This window comes from Homo sapiens, chromosome 4 (assembly GCF_000001405.40).
Source record: "Homo sapiens chromosome 4, GRCh38.p14 Primary Assembly".
Lineage (NCBI taxonomy): Eukaryota > Metazoa > Chordata > Mammalia > Primates > Hominidae > Homo > Homo sapiens.
Window position 1 is genome coordinate 78,075,764 of NC_000004.12, and position 17,726 is coordinate 78,093,489.

At 37.5% G+C, this 17,726-nt stretch overlaps 1 protein-coding gene across 2 annotated transcripts in view, besides 1 other annotated feature; it reads left to right on the top strand.

The window, feature by feature from the left end:
- Positions 1–17,726, top strand: part of FRAS1 (Fraser extracellular matrix complex subunit 1) — a 486,947-nt gene that overhangs the window by 18,441 nt on the left and 450,780 nt on the right. The gene's annotated exons all lie outside the window — the stretch shown is intronic.
- Positions 16,955–17,699: an enhancer, noted in NCBI's record as "OCT4-NANOG-H3K27ac-H3K4me1 hESC enhancer chr4:79013872-79014616 (GRCh37/hg19 assembly coordinates)". NCBI's record gives its function as "activates a minimal SCP1, AML or CMV promoter by ChIP-STARR-seq in naive and primed H9 embryonic stem cells {active_cell/tissue: H9 hESC(naive and primed)}" and the evidence as "EXISTENCE:reporter gene assay evidence [ECO:0000049][PMID:30033119]".

Here is a 17,726-nt window from a genome sequence, read left to right on the forward strand (position 1 = left end):
AGGAAATCGTTTTTGATCTTGGCCTTGAAATATGGGCCAGTTTAGAATTGGGAGAGATGAGAGAAAGGCTCTTAGGATATAGGATCAGTATAAGTAAACGCATAAGTGGCAAAGGGAGTCCAGTTTGAAGCGAGAGAAGTGATGTAACACTGAGAAGGGATTTTAAAACTCCAGATCACATAGGGCCTGGAATAAGGCATTTGAATTACATTCTGTAGGCAGTGGGGATGCTTTGAAATGGAAATCATTTGCTCTTGGATTCAGAGTCTGTCAGTACAAACTGATTAGTATATTGTTGGAGATGAGATATCGGAGCACCATCCTCTGTTGTGTTCCTTCTCCTTTTTTTCATCCATGTCCAGGTGCAGTTTCTCTGTAGAGCTTTGGAGGGGGTGTGGGTGGCTCCATGTAAGTGATCATCTTCTTGAAAAAGAGAGATCAATTTGCAGACATATTCCAACAGTGAGTCAGTACTAAGTTCATTATTAGTTCAGCAAAAGTGGGTTCATGTGGCATTATATCAAGTAGAACTCCCTATTAATAGGCATTAACCCACTCCTTTGATATTGATGTTCATAATGATCCTCCCCACCATCCTGAGGTGGTGATGTAATCTTTTTTCTTCCTCTTTATTCTGGTGAGCACTTCTCACAATTTGCCAAGATTAAATTATGCTCCAGTTAGTAATAGGAAAAAGTACATTTAGTTGTATTAAAATTTTTTGTTAAAATGGAAGCCTGATTATTTTGTATATACTACCCTAAGTGTTGGAAAGTATAGTTTTTCTCTCATGCGGTACAACAGAACTATATTATTGTTTGCTTCTAGGATTTTATCAGCTGTATCAATTCCTACATCTAAAATATATTTTTTAAAAGAAAGATTAAGTGTGGTCAGATACTTTAAGGAATAATAGAGCTTCTTGAGAAACATGGACTGCTAGAAAAGATTCTTCATAGCCTGAGGACCTCGAGGAGAAGAGAGGAAAATTTTATAGGAATAAGATAACTCAAGTGCATAGGAAAAAGAGGGAAACTCATGTTAAATGGCTGCTTTGGTTGCCACTTTAGAGGAATCAAACTGTTGAAGAGAAATAAGTATCCTTTTATATTTCTTACTCTGTTCATTTATGATTAGGATGAAAAATTCTCAATAACACCAGTCAGGAGATTAATATAAAGTATAATAAAAGAAATACTGTGAGCATCAAGGCATGTGTATTCCTGTAAGCTGTTTTTATGCGAACTTATTAAGGTCAAGGATGCTTACTCAGTAAGAGAGACTGTATCTTTAAAACTATGAACTTGGCCTTGCATGGTGCCTCACACCTATAATGCCAGCATTTTGGAAGGATGAGGCAGGAGGACGCTTAAGCCCAGATGTTCAAGACCAACTTGGTTAACATAGCAAGATTCCATCTCCAGACACACAGAAACACACACACACACACACACACATTAGCTGAGTGTGGTGGCATGTGCCTATCTTCTCAGCTACTTGGGCGGCTGAGGTGGGAGGATCGCTTGATCCCCGGAAGTCAAGGCTTCAGTGAGCCATGATCATACCACTGCACTCCAGCCTGGGTGACAGACGGAGACCCTGTCTCAAAAAACAAAACTAAAACCAAACAACTAAGAATTCAATTTTTTTGTTTTGTAGATAAATTATTATTATTTTAAATTTTATTTGTATACATTCACAGGGTGCAAATATAATTTTAGTTACATGGATATATTGCATAGTAGTGAAGTCAGGGCTTTTAGTGTATTTATCACCAGAATAATGTGCATTGTACCTATTAAGTACTTTCTCATCATCCACCCGCCTCCTATCCCCACACCCTTCCGAGTCTCCATTGTCTATCATCCTACACTCTACATCCATGTGTACACATTATTTAGCTCCCACTTATAAATGAGGACGTGTGATATTTGTCTGTCTGTGTCTCAATTGTTTCACTTATAAACAGAAAGCAATTAAAAAGGGTAAACAGTAGTGTTTTTCAAAAACCAAACCACAAAACACAGAAACACAGTATCATTCCAACTTTTGAGGAGGAAGAACTTTCTTTTTTGTTTTTTTCTAAGAGAAAATGGCCATGTTGCTTTATTTATTATACTGAAAGCAATACAGCCTTGTTCTAAAAAAAAAAAAACAGCAAATATAAAAGAGAGAATGGGAAGAAAACTCCATGAATCCAAGTAATTCCACAAACAAAAATAATTAATACTAAATATTAGATGAGTTTATTGCAGAACTTTTCCTATGTGTGTATTTAACAAAAATGGGCACTGCAATATGCACACTGTTTGGCTAGCTATTTTTTTAACTTAATACTGTATAATAGATATCTTTCTATGTCAATACACAGTTCTATACTATTATTCATTATGGATAGACTATAAGTTATTTTACACATTCCTGTTTATTGGTATTCATATTAATTTGATATTTTGGTGTTGTAAGCAACACTGTGATGAATGTTCTTGCGCACTCTTCAATTATTTCCTTTGGGCACATTCCTTAGCAATGCAACTTTTGAGTCATGTGGTATACATTTTTAAAAAGCATGTTTGTCTATACATTTAATACATATTACCACATTGCCCTTTGGGGAAGTCATACTAATTTACACTGCCATTAGTTAGTATATTCTCTGACTGTAAGGTAAGGATAAAACCTTGGTAAGAATAAAACCAACATTTAGTTTGAGAATGATTAATTTTTAAAAGTTGATGGAATAGAAGATGGTATTAACAAATTTGATGACATTTAAAAATATCTAATAGTGTAAAACTAAAAAGAAAAAATAAAGTACAGGTTTTCAAAGATTTAGTGTTACAAAGAATTACATAGTAGAACTTATAAATAATTCATTCAATAATAATTAAGAACAAAAAAATTTAAAAATGTAAATCTAACCAAAAATAATTCATGTAAGTATTTAAGAAACCACCAAATGTTAGGAATTAAAGTGGCTGAGAATAAGAATAGAGAGTTTACATAAGAGAAAATACAAGTAGCAAACAAATATATTAAGAAGAATTGTTGTTAATAACCAGGTAAAAACTAAATCAGTAATGGGATATAACCTTATACCTGTTTAAAAATTTTAAATTATTAAACCCAGCTTTGATGAGATTTCTGGGAATTTGCCCTAAGAAATCAATTTAGAAGAAAGAAAAGTTATTTGTAAAGAAGTTGCTTTCTGGCATTATGTATGTTATAAAATAAGAAGTTACCTAAATGTCTCTATTAGAGGAGTGGTTAAGTAAATCATCGTAGATTAACTTGACATAGAACATTATGTAGCCATTAAGATAATAGATGAGAAGAGCATGTGGCCATGATGGCACATTTCTGAGGTAATGTTAAGTGAAAGGCTGAGTACTCAATGCAAATCTTGTGATTAAAACTAATTTTAAAAATGTGTCTTTCTGTGATTGGGGTCTCATAAGGGGGAAAAACCCCATTTTTTTGTCAACAAGAGAGAGAGAGCTTGTAAGTAGAGGGTAAGGAATCAGTGGAGAGAAAGGACAGAAGTTGAAAGAGTGAAGAAAAAATGGCTGAAGAAAACCAAGAATGGACCAGATAGATGGGGTGGAATCAAACCACAAGTGGCAGGGACAACTTAGACAAGGTTCTTTCTCAAAGATAGGAGCAAAGTAAGATAAAGTCTATGAAAATTATATTATTTAGGACTCTTAATGTGAGTAATGGAAACTCAACTCAAACTAGCTTAAGCAAAGTCTGTAATGTTCTGCTCCCTCAACTGAAAGTCCAAGGGGATAAAATTAGCTTGAGACTGAGGTATATATGCGTTCACATGATGTCAACATGTGTTTTTCATGCTATCTCTCTTGGCTACACTTTCTTCTGGGTTGGCAGCCTCCTTGTGATGGCAGCATTGATTTATACAGTTCAAATGGCTAATATTCCAAGAGAAAAGTGAGTCCCCTTCAGAGATGCTATCTCCGGCAAAAGTTCCAGAAAACACTCTGATTGTTCTGGCTCAAGTCAAGGATCATACCCCGAGGTAAAATCACACCCTCAATGGGGAAGAAGAAACCTTATGATTTACTACACAGCCAAGTGGAGGAGGGCAGTTCTAAAAGTGAAAGCACGCTGGCCAAAGAGAAAGCAGCAGATGTTCTCTACAAGGATAAATAGACATTTGGAGGCAGCTTGGCTTGCTTACAAAGTCTTAAGTGAGAGCCGCCATCTGCCTGGTTGGCCTAATGAACGCTGCTGGAGAAAGCATCATCGGAACCAGGTTTCCTATCTCTTAACTCCCCTTTGGCCCCAAAGGGGCCAACTTACACTACAGGTGGAATGGCATCTCACCTTGCAGCAAATCAGCTCTCTGGCAAACTCACTTGTTTGGAACACAGCTAAGAAACAGGAACTAACAATAAAAGGCCTGTGAAAAGCCAAAATGGATACCACTGTGCCTCTGCCTCGAGAAGCCTGATTGATTTATTCCCCTGGGGAACAGAAAGCCGACTGCTTGCTGTCTGCACTACCTTGGGCTAGAAGAGGAGGCATAATTGCGGTATTCAGAAGTGTCCATTAGATAAGAGGCTGATGTGCTCAGGTGTTCAGGAGAAACGGATGAATGTATAGGAAAGCACTTTGGCCAAATATTTGTGAGGCTTGTTTCTTTGTAACTGTATAGACTTAAAATCATTTTTTTCTATCATAGGCAAGAAGTCGATTAAAGTATCAAATCTTTTGTAAGTGGAATAGCTTTTATCTTAATTGGATACATTCTATGGTTCAGAGTTTGTGCATGTGAACAGTTGGTATGTATCTGCTTTGGAAAATACTGTGTGAAATAATATTTTCTATGCTCAGTTCTGCTTTTGTCATAATTACATAGTTTAAACTGCATACATCAATTGTACAAGCAGATACATGTAAGCATTCTGTAGGTGCATATTAAGATGCATTAATTTTGGGCTCACAAATGCTTTACCACTCGAAATTCCTTTATAGTTTTGGAATATTTATTTTCTCTTCTCATCTTCCATTTCTGTGGCAAGACTATTTTTGTTTCTCTTTTAAATCCTTCATAGTTACATTACCTTTTAAATCTGTCCCAGGACGTCTTACTGAATCAGACTTGAAACTGGGATGTGCAGGCAAGTGGAGATGGGCTATGCATCCCTAAAATCTGTCCTCTTTCCTGTGCTGGAGAAACACGATCTGTCTGTCACAGAAAGCTTGGGTAAATGTTAAACCAGTGTTTAGCTACATACCTTGATTTGTTTGGGGCCTAGGATCCCCCTGGAAAAGAGCTTCAACGCTGAAAACAACTGGAATTCAGACATCTAAGGTCATGTGTTAAAGACTGTGAGGATGGGGGTTTGTGGGGCTGCAGAAAGGAAAGCTAGACTGTAAAGGGCAACAACAGGTTCCCTGAGAGAAAAGTCCCCACAAGGGAGAATATTGGCCTCGTGGAAATCTAGACCAGCAACTTCAATAGAACTTTCTGCCACAGTGAAAATGCTCCATATCTGTGTTGTTTGCTACTCACATGTGGCTACTGAGCACTGGAAATGCAGCTAGTGTGAAAGAGGATCTGGATTGTAAATTTTATTTATTTTTAATTAAATTTAAATAGTTATGCATGGCTAGTAGCTCCCATGCTGGGCAGTGCTGGTATAGATTTTGTAGCAAGACTGTGATGCCCAAAGAAAGCAATGATTGTAGGTAGTTCTGGGCTACATGTGAACTCCCCCTATCCAGCCTCTCAGAGCCATTGTTTACCTGGAAAGGAGAGGGGTAAGGGGGTGAAACCAAAAGAACATATTAATTGAGTTCAGACTTTCTGAGAAACCTGGGCAATAAATTGGCAAGAACCTTATCACTAGCTTTCCCAGCCCCTCTGTGGTAGGTCCTCACTTACCTGTTTGTCTTGGCTAGAGATAGAATCTGGGAGCCTCAGAGTCAGAAGGTAGACAGTTAAGGAAGTCCAGGCCTGAGCAGCTGCCTCAGGGCATCGTAGCTGATGGATGGATGGACAAACACTCTTCTTACCTAAGAAAGCTTCCTTCTTTCCTCCTCCCTCCTTTCTCAAAGAACCCTGGTTTGTTTTTTGGCATTCTCCTTCCTTACGCCATATCCTTTAGAAAAGGAGGGCTGCTTCTCAGGCTTAGTGATTAATTTTCTTTGGTTTAAGTCTGTGCTCTTCTTGTTTAAATTCTTTTTTTCCCGCATCTTACTCATATTCCACTCAAATAGTTTGAAAACCATGTACCTCCTTACACATTTAAAATATTATATCTAACATTTTTTATCAAAAGATGCATGAGTTGCAATGTCTGTAAGTTTTTGCATTTGAAAAATGACACTTTAGGATAGAACTATGACGTCCCTCTCTAATGTTTCCAATAGAATCTGAATACTATAGCAATTTGATTCCCACTGGCACCCATAAAAAATACACAAACTCTTCTTTATTGAAAATATATGTCCTTTCTTTTTCTCACACTTTCACTTTTGAGGCAGTTTTCCTATGGAATTTATCCTATTACCTTTATGCTTGAAAGTCTTTTACTGATCACCCTATTATACTTCTCTGCAATGAAATACATATATAAATTTAAATTTAAAGCATTTGTAATGTTTCCTGTGAACATAAAGCTCAAAGTGTTAAGTAATTTCCTTTGGATTGAGTTATTACAGTTGAGCAAAACAACATAAATACATTAAAATTTTTGATAAATACTTGTTAAATGTTAGAAAGTACAGTTTCATTGGAAATGCATCTCTTAATGAGATGAATGGGGCTTTTTTTTCTTCTGTTAGTTCATCCAGGATGCATATTATTTATTGCTACAGGAGACAGGATTCAGCATCAGTTCTATTCTTATTTTTCACTTGTCTAGATGTAAACTTTGTGGAATTCATTCACATAATAAGTAGATAGGAAAGGAAAGACTTTGTTATAGTCTCTTTGAACTCCTTCTGAATTATAGGCCAAAATCAATTAATTGATCCTTAAAAATTATTTTTAATGATCAGCTGAAAACTTAATTAGGTTTCTCGTCAATTTGTTTAAAAGCAAAAATTAGCAGCCATCTGATTTGCAGAAGTATTGGTTGTGAGTTATTATAGTAATTTAGTTTCTCAACACCTATACTGATATTTCACAATGCTCTTGTGTTTGGTGACCCTGAGATGTTAATATACCAGAACATTAGACTGCATGGAGTCAGCACAGATGAGACATAGGCTTTCCTTTTAAAGAGTGAGAAGCAAGATAGCAAAAGGGTTATCCTATTCTTAGGAAAGAATAAATGTGGTAATAGGGATCTGGAAATTAGGGATCTGGAAATTAACTTTAGATTACTTTAGATTACCTATTCTCACTATACCCTTGAGGAGGCTTCATGCTGCAGGGGTATGGTGCTCCAGTACCTTCAGTTTGAAGGCTGCTGGTTTAGGGCCAGTTTCCATGGTTCCCATCCTCTGGCTTGTGACTGGTTGAGGCATGGCATGTGATGAGGTTCTGGATAATGAAAGGTGAAAGGAAGTCTGCTGCAGGACTTCCAGGAAAATGTTTCCTTATTCTCAAAAACAGATCTGGGAAAGAGTCAGTCTCTTGTTCCTCTGGATGTAGTTTTATCTGGTGTTGTGGAATTGCTGCAGAAGTACTTTATCAGGAGACCTGGCTTAAAGACAAAGTGTTACCCTTAGCATGTCAGAACAGAAAGAAAGAGCAGAATGAGATTCTTCAATGTTGCTGTTGACGCATGGAAATAAAAAGCCTAGGAACACCCTACCTCTGAACTTCTTAGTTAAGAAAAAAATACTTCGTTATTGTTTAAGACACTTATTTTTCATTACATGCAAGTTCTGTTTTTTTTTTTTTTTTTTTGCAAGAATCTAACATAGATCACAAAACTACTTTGATCAAGGGGTACACGGTTGTCTTTTTTGTGATAACAGTGATAAGTAGGGTCAGGTGTTGTCAGTTTGAGACTTACATTGTAGAGTTACCTGTTAGCTTCTCACCTAATATTGTTAGCACCATCAATGAACATTACCTGGATCACTAATTTCATTAGAGACCGGCAAAATGTTGATACTCTATCATTGCTTCCTTATATCTAATTCACTATTTAGATGGAGCTATAATCCATCTAAAATATAAAACTTTCCCTCATTAACCCTCTGGTTGGCCTAAGGCACAATTCAAATAGAAAAGACAGGGTAAACTCTTGGTTGATTCTCCCTCACTCCACTTTTATTTACCAGTTTTCAGAATAATTATTTGATTTTCTAGCATCCACCAAAAGGGATCAGTGAGGTTTTCTCTTTTTACTTTAAAAATGGTATTACAGAAGTTCCTCCTTATTCACAATTTCAGTTCCTGTGAGGTCCCACAATAGGTGAGTATGGTACATACAATCAAATATTTTTTTGGGGGACCACATTCACATAACTTTTATTACAGTATGTTGTTATAATTATTCTATTTTACTATGAGTTATTATTAGTCTCTTACTGTAATTTGTAAATTAAACTTTATTATAGAAATGAATGTATAGAAAAAACATAATACAGGTATATATAGGGTTCTGTACTATCTGCTGTTACTATTGATTGATTCCTTAGGCTGCAAGTTGGTGGTTTTGACTTATTTATCAGGATGCCTTCAAATGTAAATAACAAAAAACTACAGGGCGTCTTGTAATATATCCCCTATGGGTAAGGGGGAACTAGTTTATTTTAGATTCATGGATTTTAACATATTTGAGGTCTATCAATTAGTTGCTGGTAATATTCTTTGCTGCTCAGTTTGTCCCATCTTTGGATAGTGAGAACCTCTTTAAGTTTGCTGTTGAGTCCTTTAAACATGATCCCAGTAGACTCTGATAGATTCCTTGATTTCTGGAATGAAAGATGTTCCGTCCTCTTCATACATTTCCTGCTCTAGTCCTAGGTTCAGCTGGTTTTTCAATGAGCTCTGGTTCCTGGAAGTAGGGAATGGTATTTGGAGACCAAAATCTAGGTGTGTAAAGCTAATTATTGTTACTGGATTGGTCATTGTTTCTTGGCTGTTACAGTGAACAGAGCTAAAAAATACATATTTCCTTTTAAAGAGAAAATGAAGCATGAGTTTATGCCTATGCTTCCATTAAAAATTTAGAATTATTTTTATTTATAGTGCCTTTTCTCTTATTCTGAAACACTTATTTCCCAATGACACTAATATAATTACAGATACACACTGTGCTATTACATGACTGTGATCATTTCAGAGAATAAGACTGATATTGAATCTATTAATATAATTACTAAATCAATGAAAAAATTTTGGGGAGTATTCTTTTGTTTTTAGAATGTCTTTTGTCTAAGGATAGATAGTCAAATTTCTGTGTTTTAAGGTCACTTGAAATGATTCTTTTCTATGTGATTAATTCTGTTGTCAGACTTTTGGATTTGACAGATAGGAAATGATATCTCAGCATAGTTTTAATTGTATTTCTGTGTTCGTATGTTTAAGGGTCACTGACATTTCTTTTATGCATCGTCTGTTTATACCTCCTGCCTATCATTGTTGGTCTTTTTATTCTCTATTTTTAGAAAACTTTCAATCAGTGAAACATGGTCTTTTTGTTATTTACATTTGAAGGCATCCTGATAAATAAGTCAAAACCACCAACTTAGAGCCTAAGGAATCAATCAATACTGATGTTAAAACTCAGATAGCAACAGTCACCTGGTGATGACAGAGCTGTAGGCAGCAGTTTTGAATATCTGGAAGATCTTTTCCCTGTGTCCTCAACCCTGTCTTCTGGGGACTCTCAGACATGAGACGAAGGAAGGAGAGGTGCCTGGAATGAGTCAGCCAAGAATTGTTGATCCAGTGGCTTGGTTAATAACAGTATGTTAAGAGACAAAGAAGGCCATTACATAATGGTAAAGGGATCAATTCAACAAGACGAGCCAACTATCCTAAATATATATGCACCCAATACAGGAGCACCCAGATTCATAAAGCAAGTCCTTAGTGACATACAAAGAGACTTAGACTCCCACACAATAATAATGGGAGACTTTAACACTCCACTGTCAACATTAGACAGATCAACGAGACAGAAAGTTAACAAGGATATCCAGGAATTGAACTCAGCTCTGCACCAAGCGGACCTAATAGACACCTACAGAACTCTCCACCCCAAATCAACAGAATATACATTCTTTTCAGCACCACACCACACCTATTCCAAAATTGACCACATAGTTGGAAGTAAAGCACTCCTCAGCAAATGTAAAAGAACAGAAATGATAACAAACTGTCTCTCAGACCACAGTGCAATCAAACTAGAACTCAGGATTAAGACACTCACTCAAAACTGCTCAACTACATGGAAACTGAACAAACTGCTCCTGAATGACTACTGGGTACATAACGAAATGAAGGCAGAAATAAAGATGTTCTTTGAAAGCAATGAGAACAAAGACACAACATACCAGAATCTCTTGGACACATTAAAAGCAGTGTGTAGAGGGAAATTTATAGCACTGAATGCCCACAAGAGAAAGCAGGAAAGATCCAAAATTGACACTCTAACATCACAATTAAAGGAACTAGAGAAGCAAGAGCAAACACATTCAAAAGCTAGCAGAAGGCAAGAAATAACTAAGATCAGAGCAGAACTGAAGGAGATAGAGACACAAAAAACCGTTCAAAAAATCAATGAATCCAGGAGCTGATTTTTTGAAAAGATCAACAAAATTGATAGACCACTATCAAGACTAATAAAGAAGAAAAGAGAGAAGAATCAAATAGATGCAATAAAAAATGACAAAGGGGATATCACCACCAATCCCACAGAAATACAAACTACCATCAGAGAATACTATAAACACCTCTACACAAATAAACTAGAAAATCTAGAAGAAATGGATAAATTCCTGGACACATACACCCTCCCAAGACCAAACCAGGAAGAAGTTGAATCTCTGAATAAACTAATAGGCTCTGAAATTGCGGCAATAATTAATAGCTTACCAACCAAAAAAAGTCCAGGACCAGATGGATTCACAGCCGAATTCTACCAGAGGTACAAGGAGGAGCTGGTACCATTCCTTCTGAAACTATTCCAATCAATAGAAAAAGAGGGAATCCTCCCTAACTCATTTTATGAGGCCAGCATCATCCTGATACCAAAGCCTGGCAGAGACACAACCAAAAAAAGAGAATTTTAGACCAATATCCGTGATGAACATCGAAGCAAAAATCCTCAATAAAATACTGGCAAACCGAATCCAGCAGCACATCAAAAAGCCTATCCACCATGATCAAGTGGGCTTCATCCCTGGGATGCAAGGCTGGTTCAACATACAAAAATCAATGAACATAATCCAGCATATAAACAGAACCAAAGACAAAAACCACATGATTATCTCAATAGATGCAAAGAAGACCTTTGACAAAATTCAACAACACTTCATGCTAAAAACTCTCAATAAATTAGGTATTGATGGAGCGTATCTCAAAATAATAAGAGCTATCTATGACAAACCCACAGCCAATATCATACTGAATGGACAAAAATTGGAAGCATTCCCTTTGAAAACTGGCACAAGACAGGGATGCCCTCTCTCACCACTCCTATTCAACATAGTGTTGGAAGTTCTGGCCAGGGCAATCTGGCAGGAGAAGGAAATAAAGGGTATTCAATTAGGAAAAGAGGAAGTCAAATTGTCCCTGTTTGCAGATGACATGATTGTATCTGTAGAAAACCCCATGGTCTCAGCCCAAAATCTCCTTAAGCTGATAAGCAACTTCAGCAAAATCTCAGGATACAAAACCAATGTACAAAAATCACAAGCATTCTTATACACCAATAACAGACAAACAGAGAGCCAAATCATGAGTAAACTCCCATTCACAATTGCTTCAAAGAGAATAAAATACCTAGGAATCCAACTTACAAGGGGCGCGAAGGACCTCTTCAAGGAGAACTACAAACCACTGCTCAATGAAATAAAAGAGGATACAAAGAAATGGAAGAACATTCCATGCTCATGGGTAGGAAGAATCAATATTGTGAAAATGGCCATACTGCCCAAGGTAATTTATAGATTCAATGCCATCCTCATCAAACTACCAATGACTTTCTTCACAGAATTGGAAAAAACTACTTTAAAGTTCATATGGAACCAAAAAAGAGCCCTCATTGCCAAGTCAATCCTAAGCCAAAAGAACAAATCTGGAGGCATCACACTACCTGACTTCAAACTATACTACAAGGCTGGTACTGGTACGAAACAGCATGGTACTGGTACTAAAACAGAGATATAGACCAATGGAACAGAACAGAGCCCTCAGAAATAATGCTGCATATCTACAACTATCTGATCTTTGACAAACCTGAGAAAAACAAGCAATGGGGAAAGGATTCCCTATTTAGTAAATGATGCTGGGAAAACTGGCTAGCCATATGTAGAAAGCTGAAACTGGATCCCTTCCTTACACCTTATACAAAAATTAATTCAAGATGGATTAAAGACTTAGATGTTAGACCTAAAACCATAAAAACCTTAGAGGAAAACCTAGGCAATACCATTCAGGACATAGGCATGGGCAAGGACTTCATGTCTAAAACACCAAAAGCAATGGCCACAAAAGCCAAAATTGACAAATGGGATCTAATTAAACTAAGGAGCTTCTGCACAGCAAAAGAAACTACCATCAGAGTGAACAGGCAACCTACAGAACGGGAGAAAATTTTTGCCACCTACTCATCTGACAAAGGGCTAATACCCAGAATCTACAATGAACTCAAACAAATTTCCAAGAAAAAAGCAAACAGCCCCATCAAAAAGTGGGCAAAGGATATGAACAGACACTTCTCAAAAGAAGACATTTATGCAGCCAAAAAACACATGAAAAAATGCTCATCATCACTGGCCATCAGAGAAATGCAAATCAAAACCACAATGAGATACCATCTCACACCAGTTAGAATGGCGATCATTAAAAAGTTAGGAAACCACAGGTGCTGGAGAGGATGTGGAGAAATAGGGACACTTTTACACTGTTGGTGGGACTGTAAACTAGTTCAACCATTGTGGAAGTCAGTGTGGTGATTCTTCAGGGATCTTGAACTAGAAATACCATTTGACCCAGCAATCCCATTACTGGGTATATACCCAAAGGATTATAAATCATGCTGCTATAAAGACACATGCACACGTATGTTTATTGCAGCACTATTCACAATAGCAAAGACATGGAACCAACCGAAATGTCCAACAATGATAGACTGGATTAAGAAAATGTGGCACATATACACCATGGAATACTATGCAGCCATAAAAAATGATGAGTTCATGTCCTTTGTAGGGACATGGATGAAGCTGGAAACCATCATTCTCAGCAAACTATCGCAAGGACAAAAAACCAAATACCGCATGTTCTCACTCATAGGTGGGAATTGAACAATGAGAACACATGGACATAGGAAGGGGAACATCACACACTGGGGCCTGTTGTGTGGTGGGGGGAGGGGGGAGGGATAGCATTAGGAGATATACTTAATGCTAAATGACGAGTTAATGGGTGCAGCACACCAACATAGCACGTGTATACATATGTAACAAACCTGCACATTGTGCACATGTACCCTAACACTTAAAGTATAATAATAATAAAGTTAAAAAAAATAACAGTATGTTAAGAAATGTCACAGATTGGCAGAACCCAAGGGGCCTTTGTATTTCCCTTGAGTTACATGTGAATCATTTATTTAGACTGTTTTGAATTGTTTTCTCTTTGCACATTCCAAGTTTTTAATTTTCCTCTGGCTCTGGGATTTAAACTCCAGGTCCCTTTGACTTCTCATTTTGTTTACCTGAAGAACACATAATATAAAAGTAGCCAATTGCTCAAACTTCTTTTAAAGGAATAGAAATAAATAAGAGGAAATAGAAATTGGATACAGCTCTTCAAACTTTGCTTTTTTCTTTTCTTTTTTAACTTTTATTTTAGGTTCAAGGCTACATGTGCAAGTTTTTTGTTACATAGAGAAATCGTGTCATGGGAGTTTGTTGTACACATCATTTCGCCACCCAGGTACTAAACCTAGTACCCAATAGTTACTTTTTCTGCTCCTCTCCCTCCTCCTACCCTCCATCCTTAAGTAGGCTCCAGTGTCTGTTGTTCCCTTCTTTGTGGCCATGAGTTCTCATGGTTTTCTGTCCCTATGTTACGAACTTCACCTTTTCATAATTTATTTGAAATGGGTTATGTTGACAATATGTAACAAATGTCAGTGAAGATCGTGGCATTGCAAACTTGTGACTGAGAATCAAGGGACCCACCTAAACCTGTGCTTCCTTGCTGTTCCAGTAATTGTGAATGTGCATAGGCTGGAAAGAGCTTAAGTGTAAAAGAACAACATAGTACTCTAGCAAAACACACAAATGGTACATTTATGACCATGCAAGAGGCATGAGCCATCAAGTTCCAGATTGGAGGGAAGCTATTGCACATGGTGTAGAGAAAATTTTAAATGTTTTGAACAGTGTCTAGCTATATGCTAATGCAGAAAGTTTTGAACACCTTTGGACTTTGAGAGCCAGTTGAGTATTCAAGACTATTAGGAAGGTAAAAAGAGTGGTCTGGAAATTATACTAAGTTTAAAGCTATTTTTTCTATTGATTTTTTTTGCCTTATTTTCAGAACCTGACTTACAAATTACTGTGGCAGATTGTCAGATCTGGTTAAGTCCAAAATCGGGCTTTGTAGGTCAAAGAGGCCTCCGTCACTTTTAAACTTAATCTTGGAGTTTGGCTGATGCTGTTCCCGAGGCCCCCAAACCATTAACTCATCTGTGCTCGAGATCACTGAAGCTATACATCCACGCTATTCCTAAAGCGCAGCTGTGTGTTGTGAAAAATGATTTTCTCATTGTCATTAAGAGAACAAATGCCACAGGATTTTTTTTTCTACAAGTCGACAACTGAAGAAAGCCATTTCTCCCTAGTTGATAGAAAGGCTGTCATTGCACAGAATGGCCTCTCTTATCCTTTTGTGCATTAACTCAGCATAATTTTCAAATGTAAAACTTCTAAGAGGAGCATAATTCTAGAAATGGCAAGATTATAATTATGTGCAGCATAAAGGATAAATTTGTAGTTTATAAATCATGGATATTAATATTCAGCAGGAGCCCAATTCATGGTAAAACTTGAAATAAGTACATTGTTAAAAATAATTGAATTTGGGTTTTAGAAGAAATTTTAGCAGTTAAAGATTATTTTTGTGGGAGGCCGTTTGGCTGTCTGGGGTTCAAATTTGCATTTAGGTGGGGTTAGTTTCACCGCTGTTTGAAACAGTGGCATACATTTCAATCAGTTTAGATGCATTTTTTTTTTATTTCTACTACCTGTCTTCACCCCCACCATCTAGTCTGTCACAAAATCTTGGTTATGTAGCTTTTATATATTTAGGAATCTCTCTTTTTTGGTATTTCTTCTGCCACTCCCTTGGGTCATGCCACCATTGCTTTTACTTGATTTCTGCAGTGGCCTCCAACGTGTCCTCTCCCTCCTGTCCCGTGCCCCTCAAATCCATGTTATGTAGCATCAAGAGAAATCTAGTTAATAGGAGATTCTCATGTTACTCCTTTTCTTAAAACTCTGTGTCACCTCATTATCTACAGAGGTGGAACTTACTGTGCTGTAAAAGGCCCTCATTGCTCTAGGGTGGAATGAATGGGCCAAAATGTATTTTGAGGAATTCTGAGCTTCTTCACTGGGCTTTGGTTGTTGTTGATTTTCAAAAGGGCATTGCTTTCAAACAAATATATTTATATACATACATACACACGTGTGTTTGTGTGTGTGTGTGTGTGTGTGAATCTATATATATATTTTGGAGATGGAGTCTTGCTAGGTTGCCCAGGCTGGAGTGCTGTGGCTATTCACAGGCAAGGTCATAGTGCCCTACAGCCCGGAGCTCCTGGATGCAAGTGATCTTCCTGCCTCAGCCTCCTGAGTAGCTCATACTGCAGATGCACACCACCACATTTGACCAAATGAATATATTTTTAAAAATAAAAAATGCCTCAGTTTTGAGACTGGGTATAGTAGTATGTGCCTGTAATCCCAGCTACTTAGGAGGCTAAGATAGGAGGATCGGTTGAGTCCAGAAGTTTGAGACCAACCTGGGAAACATAGTGAGACTGTCTCAAAAAAAAAAAAAAAAAAAAAGGAAAAAAACAAACTTGAAGTGAATTTTGAGATCTTGACGTGTGGGTGGCTTGGAGGTAAGACCTTCCCTGGCTGGTGGTTCTGGAGCTATAGACTCTTCATATTCCCTCAGTGTTTTGGTGGTGAGAAGTGTAGAGTAGTGGAAAAAAGAGACTTTTAGGTAGACCTGAGTTCAAATCCCACTTTGCTGCTTTCTTAGGAAGTGATTTTCTGTGTGTTATTTAAGCTACGCACAACTCAGGTCTCTGTCCTGTAGGCTGGATTGTGGTCAGGACCGGCATGTGGTAGGCTGTATTAGTCCATTTTCATGCTGCTGATAAAGACATACCCGAGACAGGGCAATTTACAAAAGAAAGAGGTTTATTGGACTTACAGTTCCACATGGCTGAGGAGGCCTCACAATCGTGGTGGAAGGCAAGGAGGAGCAAGTCACATCTTATGTGGATGGCAGTAGGCAAAGAGAGCTTGTGCAGAGAAACTCCTGTTTTTAAAACCAACAGCTCTCATGAGACCCAGTCACTATCACAGACGCGAACAGCATGGGAAAGACCCACCCCCATGATTCAGTCATCTTGCACCAGGTCCCTCCTACAACACATGGAAATTATGGGAGCTACAAGATGAGATTTGGGTGTGGACACAGAGCCAAACCATATCATAGGCATTTCATAAATGGGAGTGGTGCCGTTCTTTGAGCTTTTCCGTGGTCCTAGGGAGACATGGGCTTCAATGACCTCACAGGACAAATGCTCCATAAAGAGCCTTTTTCTGTGAAGCAAAATTTGGCACTTTTGCCACCCCAGATGCATCGATAGAGACTGGGTTAAAAGGTATTTGAAGACTTCAGAGTAACTCCTGCAAATCCTCACAAAGCTAGCAAAGGCTCTTTCTTTTCTATATAACCCAGGTGGTCTGTGAGCAGAGTAGAAGCTGCAAAAAGCAGAAAGATACTTTATTATGAGTGATGGTTTGAGAAGGAAAAAAACTCAGCAGGCTTTAACCTTTCCTTTTTGTGTAGCTGGGTGTCCACCAAGGATCACAGTAAGGTATGTGTGATTTTCATTCAAAGTTACCTTTTGTTTGGCAAAACTGGTTCACCACAGGAAAATTCTGAACCCAAGTCTGTGCTCACATTCCTGTCTTGATTCAGGAACAGCCAAAAGAAAGGAGCCACTTTCAAACCAGAACAATTAGATATGCATTGAGAAGAATTCAAGATATGTTAAAGTATTCCAAAATGGAAAAACACTGCAAGTACCAGCTTAAAACTGGTAGAGCCAAAACTGTGCAGGCGCCATGAAAAAATAAAATTCCAGTAATGGAAAGGAGTTAACCAGGGCTTCTAGAGCTAAGATAGAAAGTGCTAAGTATAAATTGAAGTGAATCTCTATTTTTACAGCTGCTATGACTAAGGCATGTTGCTTACATTGAAAAAGAAAAACAGTATTCATACCACTATGACAACTGATTATATTTAATATCTAGTCTCA